Source organism: Homo sapiens, chromosome 2 (assembly GCF_000001405.40).
Source record: "Homo sapiens chromosome 2, GRCh38.p14 Primary Assembly".
Classification (NCBI taxonomy): Eukaryota; Metazoa; Chordata; class Mammalia; order Primates; family Hominidae; genus Homo; species Homo sapiens.
In genome coordinates this window covers 218,902,702-218,921,405 of record NC_000002.12, presented here as the reverse complement: position 1 = coordinate 218,921,405, position 18,704 = coordinate 218,902,702, and the positions used below count along the sequence as shown (strand labels likewise).

The following is an 18,704-nucleotide window of genomic DNA, read 5'->3' as shown; positions in this document are numbered from 1 at the left end:
CAAGGCGGGCGGATCACGAGGTCAGGAGATCGAGACCATCCTGGCTAATGCGGTGAAACCCAGTCTCTACTAAAAATACAAATATTAGCCAGGCGTGGTGGCGGGTGCCTGTAGTCCCAGCTACTCGGGAGGCTGAGGCAGGAGAATGGCATGAACCCAGGAGGCAGAGCTTGCAGTGAGCTGAGATCATGCCACTGCACTCCAGCCTGGGCGACAGAGCGAGACTCCATCTCAAAAAAAAAAAAAAAGAAAGAAATTATGAAGAGGATTATAAGATAACTACCACAGAAGGCAGGTGGAAGTGGTCTCTGTGGAGAAGGAAGAATTGGGGAAGAGCCCACAAGGAACACACGAGACCATCGTTATATTTGTTTCTCACCCTGAGTAGTGGGTACACAGATGTTCACTGGACTATTAATCTTTAAAATGTACATATATATTTAACACATTGAAGTGTACATGATGGATTTCATAATTTTTTTAAAGTAAAATATTGTGAAAGGGAAGGGAAGGAAGGAAAGGAAGGCAAATGAAAGGAAAAGAAAGGAAGAAAGAAAGAAGGAGGGAGGATGGGAGGAAGAAAGAAAACTGGATTTGTTAATAGGAAAGAATATATCAATGTCAAATCCCCATTCTAGGCTAGCATTATTCAGCATCCAGAAGGATCATCTCAACAATTACTCAGTGGATCAGCTTATTTAATTGATGACTGTACAGTTAATTCATGCTCAAAAATCAAACATTCTAAGCTTCTTTCTATGAATATCTTCCAGACCAAGATTATTCATCTCATGGTTTTAAAGGACAGAATTTCCTGGAGAATGTTGGTCCTCTTGTAGGTGCTACTGCAGCAAAGTTGAAACAATCATACGTCAGACCAAAATACAAGTCAGTTCTTCAGTTTTCACTAATTAAAATTAACTCTGTCTAAATAAATCAACTCTTACCACCTTCAGGATTCATATCTCAAGTAAGAGACATTCTTACTGACCAATAACACAAAATATCCCACCCTCAGCACTAGGATCCTCAGTTTTGAATTCTTTCAACCATTTTTGTCAAAAGCCTTGCTGTAGCCAGGTGTGGTGGCACATTCCTGTAATCTCAGCTACTCGGGAGGCTGAGGAGGGCAGATCCATTGTCCCTAGGAGTTGAAGGCCAGCCTGGGCAACATAGCAAGACTCTGTCTCAAAAAAAAAAAAAATACATGACAACAATAACATGAAAGCCAGGAGAATGCTAAAATGAATTAAAGTGTCATAAGGTCCCTAGAGTTATTTAGAAAAGGGTGAAAGTACTAATTCAAGGGTGACCTAATTAAGCCAAGGATGCATGCTATAATATGTGGGTAATAAAATAACAATAATAGCAAACACGTGACTACTAATTTATAGAGGATGAAAATGAAATAATTAGGAAAATATTGATTGATCCAAAAGAAGGCAAGAAAGAGGTAAAAAGAAACAAAAAACAGATGTGAAAAATGGAAAAAAATGGCAAAATGGTATACTTTAAACCCTACAGTATCAGTAATTACCATAATATAAATCAATTAAAGGCAAAGATTTTCAGACTGGACAAGAAAAAAAAAACAACTATATGCTGTTATAGAAGACACACCTTAAACATAAGGATGCATAAAGGTTGGAAATAAAGGGATTTTTGGCCAGGTGTGGTGGCTCATGCCTGTAATCCTAGCACTTTGGGAGGCTGAGGTGGGTGGATCACCTGAGGTTAAGAGTTCAAGACCAGCCTGGCCAACATGGTGAAACCCCATCTCTACTAAGTATACGAAAATTAGCCGGGTGTGGTGGCACACGCCTGTTATCCTAGCTACTTGGGAGGCTGAGGCATGAGAAACACTTGAACCCGGGAGGTGGAGGTTGCAGTGAGCTGAGATTGTGCCACTGCACTCCAGCCTGGGCAACAGAGCGAGACTCTGGAAAGAAAGAAAAGAAGGAAGGGGAGGGGAGGGGAGAGGAAGGGGAGGGGAAGGGAAGGGAAGGGGAAGGGGAAGGGGAAAGGGAAGAGAGAAAGAGAAAGAAGGAAAGAAAGGAAAGGAAGGAAGGAAGAAAGAAAGAAAAAGAAAGAGAAAGAAAGAAAGAAAGAAAGAAAGAAAGAAAGAAAGAAAGAAAGAAAGAAAGAAAAGAAAGCGATTTTTTTAAAAAAAGAAAAAAAATAAGTCATGAAAACACCAAAAGGAAGCTGGTGTATCTGTACTGGTATCATAAACATAAGGAAAAAAGTATTGCTAGAGATAATGAGAGACATTTCATAATAACGAAAGGGAAATTTTAATAGGAAAATATAAAATCCTAACTATATATGCAATTAAAAACAGCCTCAAAACATAAAAGTAATAACTGACAGGTCTAAAAGGAAAAAGAGAAATCCATAATAATAGTTGGAAATTTTTTAACATATAGCTCTCAATAACTGGTAGAATAAGTAGACAAGAAATCAACATTAGGATATAGGAGATTTTGAATAACATGATTAACAAAACTGATCTAGATGACATATAATTATCATACCCAATAGCTGCAGAATGCCATCTTTTCCAATATACATTGAACAATGATCAAAATACCCCCACAGGTTTTTTTTTCTTTTCCTTGTAAGCATTTTCAATGAACTCACAATTTTGATACGCCATTTCTCTGTTATCATTTAGTTTTAAACATTGTCTTATTTCCACTGTGATTTCTTCTTTGGCCCATGAGAACATTCTTAGCAAGTGTGTTGCTTAACTTCCAAATATTTGTAATCTTCTAGTTGTTTTTTGTTATTGATTTCTAGTTTAATTTGTCAGAGATTTCAATCCTGTAAAATTTGCTGAGATTTCCTTTATAGCCCAGCTTAAAACAAAACTCAAAAGGATCAAACCATTTCCAAGTAACTGCGTCCCAGAACAAAGTTCAAACATAATTAAAGGAATACAAAATAATCTAGCACCCAACAAAGTAAAATTTACAATGTTTGGCACCTGATCAAAGATTACCTGGCTTACAAAGAAGTAGAAAAATATCACCTATAAGGAGGAGAAAAATAAATCAATGGAAGCCAACCTAGAACTGACATAGGTGTTAGGATTATCAGACAAGGACAGTAAAACAATTGTTACAACTATATTTTGTATGTTCAAAAGTTAAGTAGACACTTAGAAGGTGTATAAAATTAAAAACCTAAATTGATCATCCAGAGATGAAAGCTACAATGTGTGAGATGAATTATACACTGAAAGGGATTAGCAGATTAGATTTTAAAGAAAAAATGATTAGTGAACTTGAATACATAGACTATGATAAATTTAAGATGTATGCTATAAACCATACAGCAACCACTAAAATAATGAAATTAAGAGTTAGAGGCCAGGTGTGGTAGCTCACTCCTATAATCCCAGCACTTTGGGAAGCCAAGGCAGGAGGATCACTGGTGGCCAAGAGTTCAAGACCAGCCTGGGCAACAGAGCTAGATCCTGTCTCTGAAGTAATTTAAAAATTAGCAAGGTATGGTGGAGCATACTTGTAATCCCAGCTACTGGGGAAACTGAGGTGGGAGGACTGCTTGAGACCAGGAGTTGGAGGCTGCAGTGAAATGTGATCACGCTGCTGCACTCCAGTCTGGGCAAGAGAGCAAGACCCTGTTAAAAAAAAAAATAGAGTTATAGCAAAAAGCCAATTAAGAAAATAAAGCAGAATTTTTTAAAAATACAAAAATAGTCAACCCAAAAGCAGGTGGAAAAGGAAACAAAGAATAGATAGGACAAATAGAAAACAAATAGCAAGGTGCTGACACACCTAATCATATCTTTAAAATCACATTAAATGTAATTTAATTAATTAAATGGCACAGATTGTCAGTTTGGATTTTCTTTAAAAAAAGACCCAACTACATGCTGCCTAAAAGAAACACACTTTAAATATAAAGAAACAAATAGGTTAAAAGACATATGATGCCAATACTAAAAGAAATTCACAGTGACTATATTAATATCAGATAAAATAGATTGCAGAGAAAATAAAGAAGGTCATCTTACAATGATACAAGGGTCAACTCACCAAGAGAACATAATAGTCCTAAATGTTTATGCACCTAAAACCAGTTTCAAGACTGGTTTTGAAAAACTGAGAGAACTGTATGGAGAAATAGACAAATCTACAATTATATTCAGAGGTTTCAATATCTCTCCCAATAATTGACAGAACACATAGACAGAAACTCATGAGACTATAGAAAATATGAACAACACTGTCAACCAACTTGACCTCACTGACATTTATGGGACACTCCACTCACAACAGCAGCATACACATTCTTTTCAAGTGCACACGGAACAATTACCAAGATAGGCCATTTTGGGGGCATAAAACAATTAAAATTATTGTTACAATTATTCAAGACACACAATGTATATTCTCTAAACTCAATGAAATTAAATTAGAAATCGTTAACAGAAAGCTCTCTGGAAATTTCCCAAATATTTGGAAATTAAATAACATACTCCTAAATAACTTATGGATCAAGTAAGATATAAGTTAGAAAGTATTTTGAACTGAATAAAAATAAAAATCCAAAACAGTGAAGTTTGTGGGGTGCTACTAAAAGCAGTACTTAGAAATGCACAGCACTAAGAACCTCTATTAGAAAAGAAGAAAGGAGACCAGGCATGGTGGCTTACGCCTGTAATCCCAGCACTTTGGGAGGCCGACGTGGGTGGATCACCTGAGATCAGGAGTTCGAGGCCATTCTGGCCAACATGGCGAAACCCTGTCTCTACTGAAATACAAAAATTAGCCAGGCATGGTGGCGGGCGACTGTATTCCCAGCTACTCGAGAGGCTGAGGCAGAATTGCTTGAAACCTGGGAGGTGGAGGTTGCAGTGGATGAGATCGTGCCACTGCACTCCAGCCTGGGCGACAGAGTAAGACTCCATTTCAAAAAAAAAAGGTCCAAAATCCATGATCTCAGTTTCCAACTTAAGAAACTAGAAAAAGAAGAGTAAGTAAAACTGAAAGTAAGTAGATAAAAAGGAAATAATAAATATCAAAGCAGAAATCAATACATTTTTTAAATGGGAAGTTTAAAAAATTCAAAACAGACACCATGGATTCAATCATGCTCATTTCAGCAGCACATATACTAAAACTGGAATGATACAGAGATTAGCACGGTCCCTGCACAAGGATGACATGAAAATTTGTGAAGTGTTCCATATTAAAAAAAATAAAGTAATTCTAAATTCAATAGAATAATTTATTTTTATTTATTTAGAGATGGATCTTGCTCACTCTGTCGCCCAGGCTGGAGTGCAGTGGCATAATCTTGGCTCACTGCAACCTCCGCCTCCTGGATTCAAGCAATTCTTGTGCTTCAGCCTCTCAAGTAGCTGAGATTACAGGAATGTGCCACCATGCCTGGCTAATTTTTGTATTTTAGTAGAGACAGGGTTTCACCATGTTGGCCAGTCTGGTCTTGAACTCCTGACCTCAAGTGATCCACCTGCTTCAGACTCCCAAAGTGTTGAGATTACAGGTGTGAGGCATCATCCTGGCTAAATTCAACAGAATAATTTAAAAAACAATAGAGAAAACCAATGAAACTAAAACTTGTTTCTTTGAGAAATATCAATGAAATTGATAAACTTCTAGCCAGAATGATCAGGAAAAAAAGAGGGAAGACACAAATTACCAATGTCAGAAATAAAACAAATGACATCACAACAGACTTTAAAGATATTTAAAAGTTTAAAAAGGAATTTTGTGAATAACTTTGTGGCAATACATTTGACAATTTAGATAAAATGAACACATTCTTTGTGTGTTTCTAGTAGAATATCATATAGATTCCTAAAATGCAACGTGGCCACAGCCTTTATCTTTCCTTACCCACAATTCCAATCCTGCTTAACCTTCTATTTCAGCCTGTTGCCCCAAACCTGAAATCTAGGCATTGCCACACATTCTTTGGGTTCATTTACCAAAAATCTCAAGAAACAGAGAATCAAAGTAACTGGATAGCTATCAAAGGGATTGAATGTGTAGCTAAAAATCTTTTCACAAAGGACACTTCAGGTCCAGTTGGCTTCCCTAGTGAATTCTACTAAACATTTAACAAAGAAATAATACCAATTCTACACAAACTCTTCCAGACAATTGGAATGGAGTCAGGGCAGGTTCCAAGTGTTCCCCTGAGGCATTAGGCCAAGTATCTCTGCGGGGCTTGGCCTAAAACTGCACTCTTGCTTGACTTTTACCTCCATGTTTTGTCCTGCTTCTCCCCTGGGAGGACTCCCTTGACAAATCACTTGCATACTAATCTTCATCTCAGGGTCTATTTCTGGGGAAACTGATCTAAGACAGACAATGCCTGGATTTTGGGTTTAGGGCAACAGGTTGAGATAGAAGGTTAAGCAGGATTGGGATCGGGGGTAAGGAAAGATAAAGGCTGTGACCACGTTGCATTTTAGGAATCTATATGACATTCTACTAGAGGCATCCAGTAGGTAGTTGGATATGCAGCTTAGGAAAGCCATCTAGGTAGGAAACACATTTGAGAGTCATTAGTCTAAAAATGGTCATTAAAGCCCTGGTAGTGGAAGCAAAGAGTGTGAAGGGTAAAAGGAGAGGAGGGCCTGTGCCCAATCCCAATCCTACTTAACCTTCTGTCTCAACCTGCTGGATAAATAAATGAAAGGGAACCAGCAGACAGACTGAGGAGCAGCTGAAGAAGTAGGAGGAAAAGCAGGACGTGGGTATTCTCAAGGCCAAATAAAGAGCGTTTTGGCCAGGCACGGTGGCTCACACCTGTAATCCCAGCACTTTGGGAGGCCAAGGCGGGCAGATCACCTGAGGTCAGGAGTTCAAGACCATCCTGGCCAACATGGTGAAACCCCATCTCTACTAAAAATATGAAAGATTAGGCAGGCGTGGTGTTGGGTGCCTGTAATCACAGCTACTCGGGAGGCTAGGGCAGGAGAATCACTTGAACACAGGAGGCAGAGGTTGCAGTGAGCCAAGATCATGTCACTGCACTCCAGCCTGGGCAGCAGAGCAAGACTCTGTCTCAAAAAAAAAAAAAAAAAAAAAAAAAAGCATTTCATGGAGGAAATGGTCCACAGAGTCAACTCAGCATTTATTCATTTATTCATTCAGCAATTCTGAGCACCTGCTCTGCTACCAAGCCGTCACTGTGCTGGGAGATAGGGACAGAATGGGAAGACAGACACCTGACTCGGACCCTACTCTCTTGGAATTTACAGTCCAGAGGAGAGGACAACTAAACAAATCTCACTCAAAAAAATTTATAATTGCAAACAGAGTTTGCATATATTAAAGAAATGAAATCTTCCCCGAGGAAGTGGCATTTGAGCTAGAGCAAGACAGAAGGGGACTAGCTACAACAGCAAAACAAGCAATAAAGTTATAAAATAGATAAATTGGACTTCATCAAAATTAAAAACTTTTATGCTTCAAAGGACGCCATCAAGAAAGTGAAAACAGGGCTGGGCTCATTGGTTCAAGCCTATAATCCCAATAATTTGGGAGGCTGAGGTGGGAGGATTGCTTGAAGCCAGGAGTTCAAGACCAGGCTGGGCAACATAGTGAGACTCCATCTCTTAAAAAAAAAAAATTAGCCAGGCCTGGTGGCACACCCCTGTAGTCCTAGCTACTCAGGAGGCTGAGGTAGGAGGATTCCTGAGCCCAGGAGTTTGCAACCTCAGTGAGCTCAGTGAGCCATGATAGTACCACTGCACTCCACCCTGGGTGACAGAGGAAGACCCTGTCTCTAAAACAAAAAAAGAAAGTGAAAAGATACCTGAGCATAGGAGAAAATGTTTGCAAAACATATATCTAATAAGGGACTTCTATCTAGACTACATCAAGAACTCCTAAAATTCAATAGTAAAAAGACAACCCAATTTTTTTAAATAAGCAAAGGATTTGAATAGACATTTATCAGAAGATACACAAATGGTTAATAAGCACATGAAAGCATGCTTAACATCATTTGCATAGGGAAGTGCCAGTCAAAATCAAATGAGATACCACTTCACACCCAGTGGGATGGTTATAACTACAAAAATGGAAAATAACAAGTGTCAGAGAGTGTATCAGTTTGCTAAAGCTGCCATAACAAAGTACCACAAACTGAGTGACTTAAACAACAGAAATTTGTTGTCTCATGTTCTGGAGGCAAGAAGTCCAAGATCAAGTTATCAGAGGGCCATGCTCCCTCTGAAGGCCCCAAAGAAGGATTTGTTCCAGGTTTCTCTCCTAGCTTCTGGTAGGTCCTTGGCTATGGCAGTATAATTCCAGTCTTCACGTGCCATTCTCCCTGTGTGCGTGTCTGTGTCCACATTTCCCATTTTTATAAAAGACACCAGTAATATTGGATAAGGGGCCCAACCTACTCCAATAAGACCTCATCTCAGCCTCACTAATTGCATCTATAATGACTCTATTAATATAATGACTCCAAATGACTCCAAATAATTTCACATTATGAGGTACTGGGGATTAGGACTTCGACACATGAATTTTGGGGAGCCACAATTCAACCTATAATAGCAAGGATGTAGAGAAACTGGAATTCTCATATACTATTGGTAGGAAGGTAAAATGGTACGGCCACTTTGTAAAAATCTGGCAGTTTCTCAAAAAGTTGAACATAAAGCTACCATAGGATCCAGCAATTCCACTCCTAGGTTTATACCCGAGAAAATGAAGACGTATGTTCATACAAAAAATTGTACATGAATGTTCATAGCATCATTATTCATAATAGCCAAAGAGTGGAAATAACCCAAATGTCCTTCCACGAATGAACAGATAAACAAAATGTGATCTATCACAATGGAATATTACCTGGCAATAAAATTGAAGTACTGATACATGCTACGGCATGGCAGCGTGGACGAAGCTTGAAAACATTATGCCAAGTGAAAGAAGCCAGTCACGAAACACCACATGATTCTATTTATATGAAATGTACAAAACTGGCAAATCCATAGAGATAGAAAGTAGACTGGCTGTCTAGGCTGAGGAGTTGGGGGCAGTGACTACTAATGGGTTTAAGGTTTCTTTCTGGGGTGATAAAACAATTTCAAAATTGATTGTGGTGATGGTAGAATCAATATTCATGACTCTGAATATTCTTTTTTTTTTTTTTTTTTTGAGACCAAGTCTCACTCTGTCATCCAGGCTAGAGTACAGTGGCGCGATCTCGGCTCACTGCAACCTTCGCCTCCCGGGTTCAAGCAATTCTCCTGCCTTAACCTCCCAAGTAGCTGGGATTACAGGCACCCGCCACCATACCTGGCTAATTTTTTTGTATTTTTAGTAGAGACGGGGTTTCACCATGTTGGCTAGGCTGGTTTCGAACTCCTGACCTCAAGTGATCCACCCACCTCGGCCTCCCAAAGTGCCAGGATTACAGGTGTGAGCCACCACACCTGGCCTACAACTCTGAATATCCTAAATTGAACTGCACATTTTAAATGGGTGAATTTTATGAGTTTTAATGTGTGTGCATTATATCTCAATAAAGCTGTTATTCTAAAATAAATAAATAAATCCTAAACTCCCTATGAAAAAACAAACACAAAAACACAAAAACAAAACAAAACAAAATAAAAAGGTCAAGAACATTCCAACCAAAAAGCAACCACGAGAAAGTGAGCTCTAGAATGGCAGGAATGTTTGCCTGCTTTGTTCACTGTCATATCCCCAGCACCAAAACAATGTCTGGAAATAGCAGGTATAAATAAAAGGAACATGTGCAAAAGCCTTGTGTCAGGGAGGTGGATGGCCCATGGGAGAAATGAAAGATCAATATGAGTGACTGGGACTACACTGGAGATGACTGGGTTCAACTGAGTCTTTATCCTAAAAGCAATGAGCAGCAATGATGAATTTTTAAGTGGAGGTGGATCAGATTTACATTTGAAAAGACCACTGGTAGGCCAGGTGCAGTGGCTTACTTGTAATACCAGTACTTTGGGAGGCTGAGGTGGGAGGATCACTTGAGCTCAGGAGTTCAAGACCAGCCAGGGCAACATAGCGAAACCCCTGTCTCTACAAAAAATACAAAAAATTAGCCGGACATGGTGGCACGAGCCTGCGGTTCCAGCTACTAGGAAGGCTGAGGCAGAAGGATCGCTTGAGCCTGGGAGGCAGAGGTTGCAGTGAACTGAGATCGTGCCACTGCACTCCAGCCTGGGTGCAGAACACCCGCAGCAGGGAGAGCTGATTAAAGATAAAGACTGAAATGTTCGATTTAACAAAAAGAAGTTGTTAGTGACCTTGGAAAAATCAGTCCAAGTGGAGAGATGGGGTGACTAATTTGGGGAATTGGAAAGGAAGTAGAGCTGGCAAAATTATACTACACTTGGTAAGGCCTCTCCCTATTCCCTATAAGTCTCCAGGGAAACAGACCAAAAATACACTTGGCTTGAGAAATAACAAAGACATGTTCCCATGCATATTCACGCACAGCCGGTTCACCAGCGGATTCTGTTTCTGTTCAAGGATTCCATACTTCCCACCCTGATACAGAGAGAGGTCTCATGGCTGAAGTTCATCAGCGGTTGTCTCCTACCAGATGCTAGCCTTCTTTCATTGCTGGGGGAGAGGTGGGTGGGAGAACACAGAGCGGGCTGCCATCCTCTGAGATTTGGGAGGCACTTTAGAAACACAATTCGTTCCCTTTTAGCTTCATTGCGCTAGGTACAATCCAGAACCCAAAGGCAGGCCAAGTAGACACACTTCAACTCCACTCCCTGAAGATGGTGAAATGTTTTAGATTAGGACATTTCTCTGGTGTGACCAGACGTCTGAACTGAACCAAAAGAGCTGGGTTCTAGTTCTAGTTCTGCTGGTCTCAGTAGCAAAGCCTTGGGCAAGAGACTTGACCTCTCTGGGCTTCCATCTCCTCATCTCAAAAATTAGGAGAATAAACACATGCCCTGCCCTGAGCAGAGTGGTTAGGAGGGGATAACAACCATGCAAGGGCAGATGTAGATTTGGGGGCCTGAGCTTATATAATCTCATGGTATTCGTTAAGAAAAAGAATAGAAAATTTAAAATACAAAAGTAGGTACAAATATAAATATTTAAAATGAGAAAAGAAATTACATCACTCTACAAAATTGAAAAAGCTCATACCAAAAACATCACACACAAAAAATTGAAAAAACACTATTTGTTAAATTAACTGCCTGGCATATCGCTAAGCACTTTCTCACTACATTTTTTGGCTGTGTAGTCTTTCATGGCCTCTTTAACAACATTTTTGTCATTCTATGGAGAGAAAAGGAAAATAATTGAGTCATTCCTCTCTCTAATGGTGGATCAAAATTTGTTATCGCTGCTAGCTTAGAAAAGATCCAGTTGTCCAACTCCTTATTTTAGGATGACTGTCAAACTTAGGAAACTACCAAGCCTTTTGTTATGAGCCATAAGCGATCAAGAAACTTCACATTACCTTGTACTGTGACAAATATATCTCCCCATTTTTTTGATGCTGGACATCTATGACCAAAAGACTTCTGACACACTCAGGTCACTGTGCTTGTAATTCAGCACAGTGGGGACTAGGGGTATTCCTGGAAGGCTAGCAAAAACGTAAGTATACACACGAGCCACATAAACTCAAACTCAGTGTATTCCCTACTCCAAAATGCCTAAAAATGCTCACAGCCACTCCAATGCCTCCAGATAGGCAAAGTCACAGTGGAAAAAGACAGTGGTCTCTTTAAACCTGTTAAGAGTTAAAATCTTTAAATCTGTTAAGAACAGATTTGGTTTAAAATACCTTAGTTTTGCTACTTATATATATTTTTTAAACTGTGATCGTGTGAACACGTCGCTAAGACCTCTTGCATGTCCATAGAAGAGGCCTGGGTAAGTTTGAGGGCCCAGAAGAGGAAGCTCTCCTAAGCGTCGGGGTTATTTACCGTAAAGGTCCTTTAAAAGGCGGAGCCAAAGGGAGGTTGCCGAGAGGCTGGGGCTGAGCTGAATTTCTCGGGTGAAGGAGCACGGTGGAGGCAGGGGGGCGTCGCCAGTCCGGCTCACGGCGCGTGGCCGGCCCAGGGTAGCTTCCCAAAGATGAAACTGTGGCCTCTCTCAGCCGAACCCCACTCAGAGATCCCCGCTGACCCATCCCCGCCCTCCTGCGACCCCTGCTTGGTTCCCAGAAAGGACAGCGACCTCCAACCAGCCCTCGCCCTCCGCAGGTCTCCGTCTCAGGTTTCAAAAGGAGCGCGCCCCCTTAGGCCCGCCCCTCACTTCCGGCCTGTAAACGCGTAGGTCCCACCGATCTCGCGATAGCGCGTCTTCTCGCCGCTGGCGCTCACCCTGGGCATCCTCGCCTACGTGTTGGTTGAGGTTGGCTGAGGTCGGCTGCTCTGTTGGCGCTTGGGATCGGGGCTTTCCCCCAGGCCCATCACGTGGCAGCATCGACTGGACTCTTAAGGCCACCGGCTCCTTTAAGTCCACCCGTCCCTGAAGGTTCCTATCGAGAGGCTAGGCGTAGGGAACCGCCTTCAACCCTGTGCCCACGGTCGTGTTGTGCTGCGCACGAGTGATAAGGACTCAGACATCCTAATGATTGTTCCAGGCTCTCACTGGGTGCCGGACACCGGGCTCCACACACGTCTTCTCAATGAATACCCACAATAACCCTGAGAGAAAGGCGTGGTTTTTTACCCTCGTTATACAATTGGGGAAACTGAGGCTCAAAAGAGTGAAGGAACCTGCTGAGGGTCACAGAAAAGGATGCGGCCGAAACTCGAAGTCAGTCTGGCTGCAGCTCTAAGGCCTCGTTACTGTCGTAGAGCAGTTTGTCAAGAAGTCCTTCGGTTCCTAGATTTCTAGAGGACGCTGGAGTTCATTGTGAAGTGCCGGGGCTTTGGGTCCACACAGATACAGGTGCATAGGAAAATCCAGGAACCTTGTTTGTTCTGTGACTTTAAATGACTTGCTTAACCTTTCTGGGTCTCATTTTTCTTCAACTGATAGATGGGGTTAATAATAATACTTCATAGAATTATCGTGAGTGTTCAGTGCCTACTCCATAGTAAGCTCTCAATAAATGGAAACTGCTACTGTTAATAATCTTTTATCCTCTCACGTGTTGTACAGTGTTCAAAGTGCAGGAGGTGCTTAATAAACCAGAGTGAATGGTGAATGAATGGAGGAAGAAATGTAAAGTCTGGCCAGACACCATGTGGTCCTTGCCTCCAGCCCCCTAATCTTATTTATTTATTTTTGAGACAAAGTTTTCACTCTTATTGCCCAGGCTGGAGTGCAGTGGCGTGATCTCGGCTTACTGCAACCTCTGCCTGTCGGGTTCAGGCGATTCTCCTGCCCCAGCCTCCTGGGTAGATGGGATTACAGGCACATACCACCATACCCAGCTACATTTTTTGTATTTTTTTTACTAGAAATGGGGTTACACCATGTTGGCCAGGCTGGTCTCGAACTCCTGACCTCAGGTGATCCGCCCACCTCGGCCTCCCAAAAAGTGTTGGGATTACAGGCATTAGCCACCGCACCTAGCCAGCCCCCTAATCTCTTACCCACTTCACTATGTGGTGCCACTTCAAAGGGCTTGAACTGGGAAATGACTGTTTCTCTTCTTCCCAAAACGGCTGTGTGTGTGTGCATGTGCACGTGTTTTAACTTGGGTTTGTTTGGTTTTTTTTTTAGGCAGAGTCTTGCTCTGTCACCCAGGTTGGAGTGCAGTGGCACAATCTCGGCTCACTGCAAGCTCCGCCTTCCGGGTTCACACCATTCTCCTGTCTCAGCCTCCCGAGTAGCTGGAACTACAGGCGCCCGCCACCACGCCCGGCTAATTTTTTGTATTTTTAGTAGAGATGGGGTTGCACCGTGTTAGCCAGGATGGTCTCGATCTCCTGACCTCGTGATCCACCCGCCTTGGCCTCCCAAAGTGCTGGGATTACAGCCACCACACCCAGACTTAACTTGTTATTGAAGTAACGTACAGAAAAATACACAAATCCTATGTGCACTTAACTTTTAACACAATGAACAAAGTAGTGTAATCAGGTCCCTGAGGAAGAAACAAATCATTACCAGCTCCCCAAACCCTTCTCCTGTTTCCCTCTATTCACTGCATCTCCTACAGGGATAACCACTATCATGCCTTTTTATTTCATTTTATTTATTTTATTTTATTTTATTTATTTTATTTTTTGGAGATGGGGTCTCACTTTGTCACCCAAGCTTAAGTGCAGTGGCATGATCATAGCTCACTGTAGCTTCGACCTCCTGGGTTGGGATTACAGGCCACTATCCTGCCTTCCAACTGCATAAGTTAACTTTGCCTGTTTTTGCAGCTGCCACTGGGATCATACAGTGTGCTCTCATCTGGAACTTCCCACATCTCCACGTGCCCTCACCTTCAGTGAGAGTCTGAGAAGAAGCCGGGTGGGGTTGCTGCCCACATGGTCGGGGCTGCTGCCAATGCCACTCATCTCACCGTCACTTGCTGCCTCTCTGCCTGCCCCCTGGTCCATGGTTCTCTGACATCTCTCTCTCCTTGAGGTGGGGAAGCATGTTCTGTTTCTCATTCTCAGCTCTTTCATAAGGAGTTCCCACAGCAGAGATGTCTGTGCCCTAGCGAGCCCGTTCTTGCCCTATACCCCAAATGTTTCCCTTTCCACCAGGAAGGCCCTGAGGCCTGAGGGAGTGAGGGTAGAGGTGCACCAAGCCCCAGTGGTCATGCCCAGCCTCACAACATTCCAAATAGCACTCCTCCCTCTGCCCTGTTCGGCGGACCCCTTCCCTGTCCAGTGAAACCTTTTTCTCACTCAGGGTGATGAGCTCTCCGGCCTCTGTTGTTCCTCCCCTGCAGTCTGCCATCCACTACAGACCCCCAGCCCACCAGACACTGGGGAACCCCAACTGTGGCCATGGTTTACTTCCTCTTCCAAGGATTTCTGATGCCATGCCGGTTAAGGGACATGGCTTAAGGGTCTAGGTATGTTACATATGAGGAGAGTAAGGCTCAGAGAAATTTAAGGAATTTTCCAAAACCATATAATTTATAAGTGATGAGAATTAGACCTCAGAAGTGCCATTTGATGCCAGGCTAGAAGGCTAAGTGTCTGCTAAAGGCCACCATTCAGTGAGACTAAAATGGGTGAGACGTCTAGGTACTTTACATATATTACATCTAGTCCTCAAAACAACTTCAGCAGATGAGTGTTTTTATTTCAATATAGCAGATACAGAAACTGAGGTCCAGAGAACTTAATGACTTTGCCTTAGGTCACAGGGATAGTGAGAGACTAAACTAGGATTCAATCCCTCCCGCCGCACAGGCTGACCCCAAAGCCTGGCTCTTTCCTCTGCACTGTGCCATGCTCACTGGAAGGATTTTGACAAGAGCAGATATGAGTGGACATGGAGCTAAGGCAGGACAGTTGGGGTACATTCCAGAGAGAGGGAAACATGGACCACAGAGGGGCTGTTTCCATTTTCTATTACTGAGTAACAAACCGCTCCAAAATTCAGTGGCTTAAAAATAACCATTTACATCCCACAGTCCTGTGGGTTGACTACAGTCAGCTGGGCAGTTCTCACGTGGGGTCTCTCAAGCAGTTCAGTTAGATGGTGGCTAAGGCTGGAGTCATCTGAAGGCTCAACTCGGCTGGATATCCAAGATGACTTTTTAAAAATTTATTTATTTATTTATTTATTTTTGAAGACACAGCCTCACTTCGTCACCCAGGCTGGACTGTAGTGGCGCAATCTCACTCACTGCAACCTCCACCTCCCAGGTTCAAGTGATTCTCATGCCTCAGCCTCCCGAGAAGCTGGGACTACAGGCATGTGCCACTATGTCTGGCTAATTTTTTGTATTTTTAGTAGAGATGGGGTTTCGCCATGTTGGCCAGGATGGTCTTGAACTCCTGGCCTCAAGTTATCCGCCTGCCTCGGCCTCCCAAAGTGCTGAGATTACAGGTGTGAACCACTGAGCCCAGCCCCAAGATGACTTTTTAAAGTCACATGTCTGGCACCTCATCTGAATTGGCTGGAACTGAAGGGGCCTGCCCAGGCATTACTCTCTCTATACAGCCTTCCCATGTGGCTTGTTTCGGGTTCCTCATAGCATGGTAGTCTCTGGGTAGACAGACCTCATACACGGTGATTGGCTTGCCCCAGAGTGAACATTCCGAGCGACTGAGGCAAAAACTGCAAAGCTTCCTATTCCCTCTCTTCAGCAGTCATGCAGCTTCGCTTCCACAGCACACTCAGTGAAAAGGAAGCATGGACTGGCCCTTTCAAGGGGAGGGGACAATACACAGGTGTGAAGCATGATTCAAGGCGGACCACCTTTGGGGCCCAGCTATTACAGGGGCTGAGGCAGGAAAGGACTGCTCAGGGAACTGCACACAGTCATGCTTCAGTGGAACATGGTGTGGAAGTGAGAAAAAACTGGAGATGATCGTTTGTGGCATATGGTGGAGGGCTTCAATGCTCAGGAACCTGCATATGGATACACACTGGAGTCTTTAGCTGCCCAGCATCTGAGCCCCCTTCATATGTTGGTGGAGCCTCCCTAATGTGAGTCTTAGTGAGAAGTCAGATACTTGCTCACCTGGCCCCTAGCAGGAAGATCACAGCCAAATCAATGCTCCCAGTCAGGACTCTAAATCTTCAACAAGTGACCCAAGGAGGAAGAGGACTGTTTATAATTCATCCCAGAGGTGGCAGCAGCAAGTGCTCAGGGTGGTGGTAGCCATGTGGGAAGCAGCCCCCAAGCCCCTTAATCAGGCTGCACTTGGGACAGGATTTAGCTAAAGTTCTAGCTGCCTAGCTTCTCTTGGCTCCTGCTTGCTTCCTGAGCCTGATTCTTGAGGCTTCCTGTCAATTCTTTGAGTTCCCTGATGTCATCCCAGTAAATTCCTCTTCTACTAAGTGAACCAGAGTCTGTTTCTGTTGTTTGCAATTAAGAACCCAAATTGGTACAAAGATCCATTGAGAGCTTTAGTCAGAGGAAATGACATGATCAGAGCACTTCGTGGGAGAGAAAAACAGAACAATAGGATAGGGATGGATTGAAGAGGAAGAAAGAGGAATGACAGAGGCTAGTTGGAAGGTCGTTGTGATGTTTGAGGTGTGTGGTGAACTAGGATATTGACCATGTGAATGAAGTGGAAGAATAAGCAGATCTTGGCCACTGATTGAATATAGAAAGGAGAAGAGAAGGTGAGAGTCCAAGTTTACACCAGTTTTGAGGTTCAGTGACTAAGAAAATGATGATGTGACAAAGAGAAACAAGCAAGTTAAGGAGAACTGGTTTGGAGGGGAAAGTCATTCATTCACTTATTCAACAAATATTAAATGCCTGGTCTATGCCAAGCACTGTGCTAGGCATTGAGAAAAGAACAGTAAACAAAACAAAGTCTCAGCCCTTAGCAAATACATACATAAGATAATGAATCTGCATTAATAAAGCTTGAGCCGGGCATGGTGGCTCACGCCTGTAATCCCAGCACTTTGGGAGGCTGAGGTAGGTGGATCACTTGGGGTCAGAAGTTCAAGACCAGCCTGGCCAACATAGTGAAACCCCATCTCTACTAAAAATACAAAAAATGAGCTGGGCGTGGTGGCAGGCCACCTGTAATCCCAGCCACTCAGGAGGCTGATGCAGGAGAATTGCTTGAACCTGGGAGGCAGAGGAGTCAGAGGTTGCTGTGAGCTGAGATGGCGCCATTGCACTCCAGCCTGGGTGACAGAGCAGGACTCTGTCTCAAAAATAAAATAAAATAAAATAAAGCTTGAGTGGGTGGTATCACAGGCATACATTAAAACATGTCTAGCTGGCAGCTGGAACTTCAAGAAAGATCACAGGAGACCAGGTGTGGTGGCTCACACCTGTAATCCCAGCACTTTGGGAGGCCAAGATGGGTGGATCACCTGAGGTCAGGAATTCAAGACCTGCCTGGCCAACATGGCGAAACCCTGTCTCTACTAAAATACAAAAATTAGCCCGGCATGGTGGTGCACACCTGTAATACCAGCTACTCAGGAGGCTAAGGCAGGAGAATTGCTTGAACCCAGGAGGCAGAGGTTGCAGTAAGCTGAAATCACACCACTGCATTCCAGCTTGGGTGACAGAGCGAGACTCTGTCTCAAAAGAAAAAAAAAGAAAGATCATAGGAAGGAAGTTTGGGCCTGAAGACAGAAGTTAGTAGTGATTTCTGTAGACATTTATTTATTTATTCATTCATTCACTTATATTTATTGAGTTCCTACTATGTACTTAATACCATTCTTGGCATTAGAAATACAGCAAAAAACAACAGAGTCTCAGTTCTCGTAGAGTTTCCATTATAGAGTGTGGAAGCAGAGCATAAAGAAATACACAAATATGGTCAAATATGTGATCTATACTATGAAGAAAAATAAAGCAAGGTAAAGGTAAGAGGAAGTTTGCTATGTTATACAGGATGTTCTGCCAAGGCTCCTCTTTTCTATGTTTATTTTGTGTGGGTTTTTTTTTCTTTTTTGAGACAGGGTCTTGCCCTGTCAATCAGGCTGGAGTACAGTGGCTTGATCATAGCTCAATGTAGACTTGAACTCCTGGGATCAAGTGATCCTCCCGCCTCAGTCTTTCAAAGCACTGGGATTCCAGGCATGAGGCACCATACAAGGCCCCTCTCATAAGGAGAT

The 18,704-nt window shown here is 42.8% G+C and overlaps 2 long non-coding RNA genes and 1 pseudogene across 2 annotated transcripts in view, besides 1 other annotated feature; 2 read left to right on the top strand and 1 right to left on the bottom strand.

The window, feature by feature from the left end:
* Window positions 1–18,704, top strand: part of LINC01494 (long intergenic non-protein coding RNA 1494) — a 29,824-nt gene that overhangs the window by 9,232 nt on the left and 1,888 nt on the right. The window contains exon 4 of the long non-coding RNA NR_110238.1: window positions 14,360–14,567. This is a non-coding gene — a long non-coding RNA (long intergenic non-protein coding RNA 1494). The remainder of the gene's footprint in view (window positions 1–14,359; window positions 14,568–18,704) is intronic.
* LOC124906119 (uncharacterized) lies at window positions 682–12,246 on the bottom strand. The gene is made up of 2 exons (XR_007088090.1): window positions 11,957–12,246; window positions 682–845 (listed from the first exon to the last, which is right to left on the bottom strand). It is a non-coding gene; the product is annotated as an uncharacterized LOC124906119 (long non-coding RNA).
* On the top strand, window positions 5,119–5,222 carry RNU6-642P (RNA, U6 small nuclear 642, pseudogene; annotated as a pseudogene).
* Window positions 12,382–12,551: an enhancer, noted in NCBI's record as "active region_17136". NCBI's record gives its function as "activates an Ori minimal core promoter by ATAC-STARR-seq in GM12878 lymphoblastoid cells {active_cell/tissue: GM12878}" and the evidence as "EXISTENCE:reporter gene assay evidence [ECO:0000049][PMID:35858748]".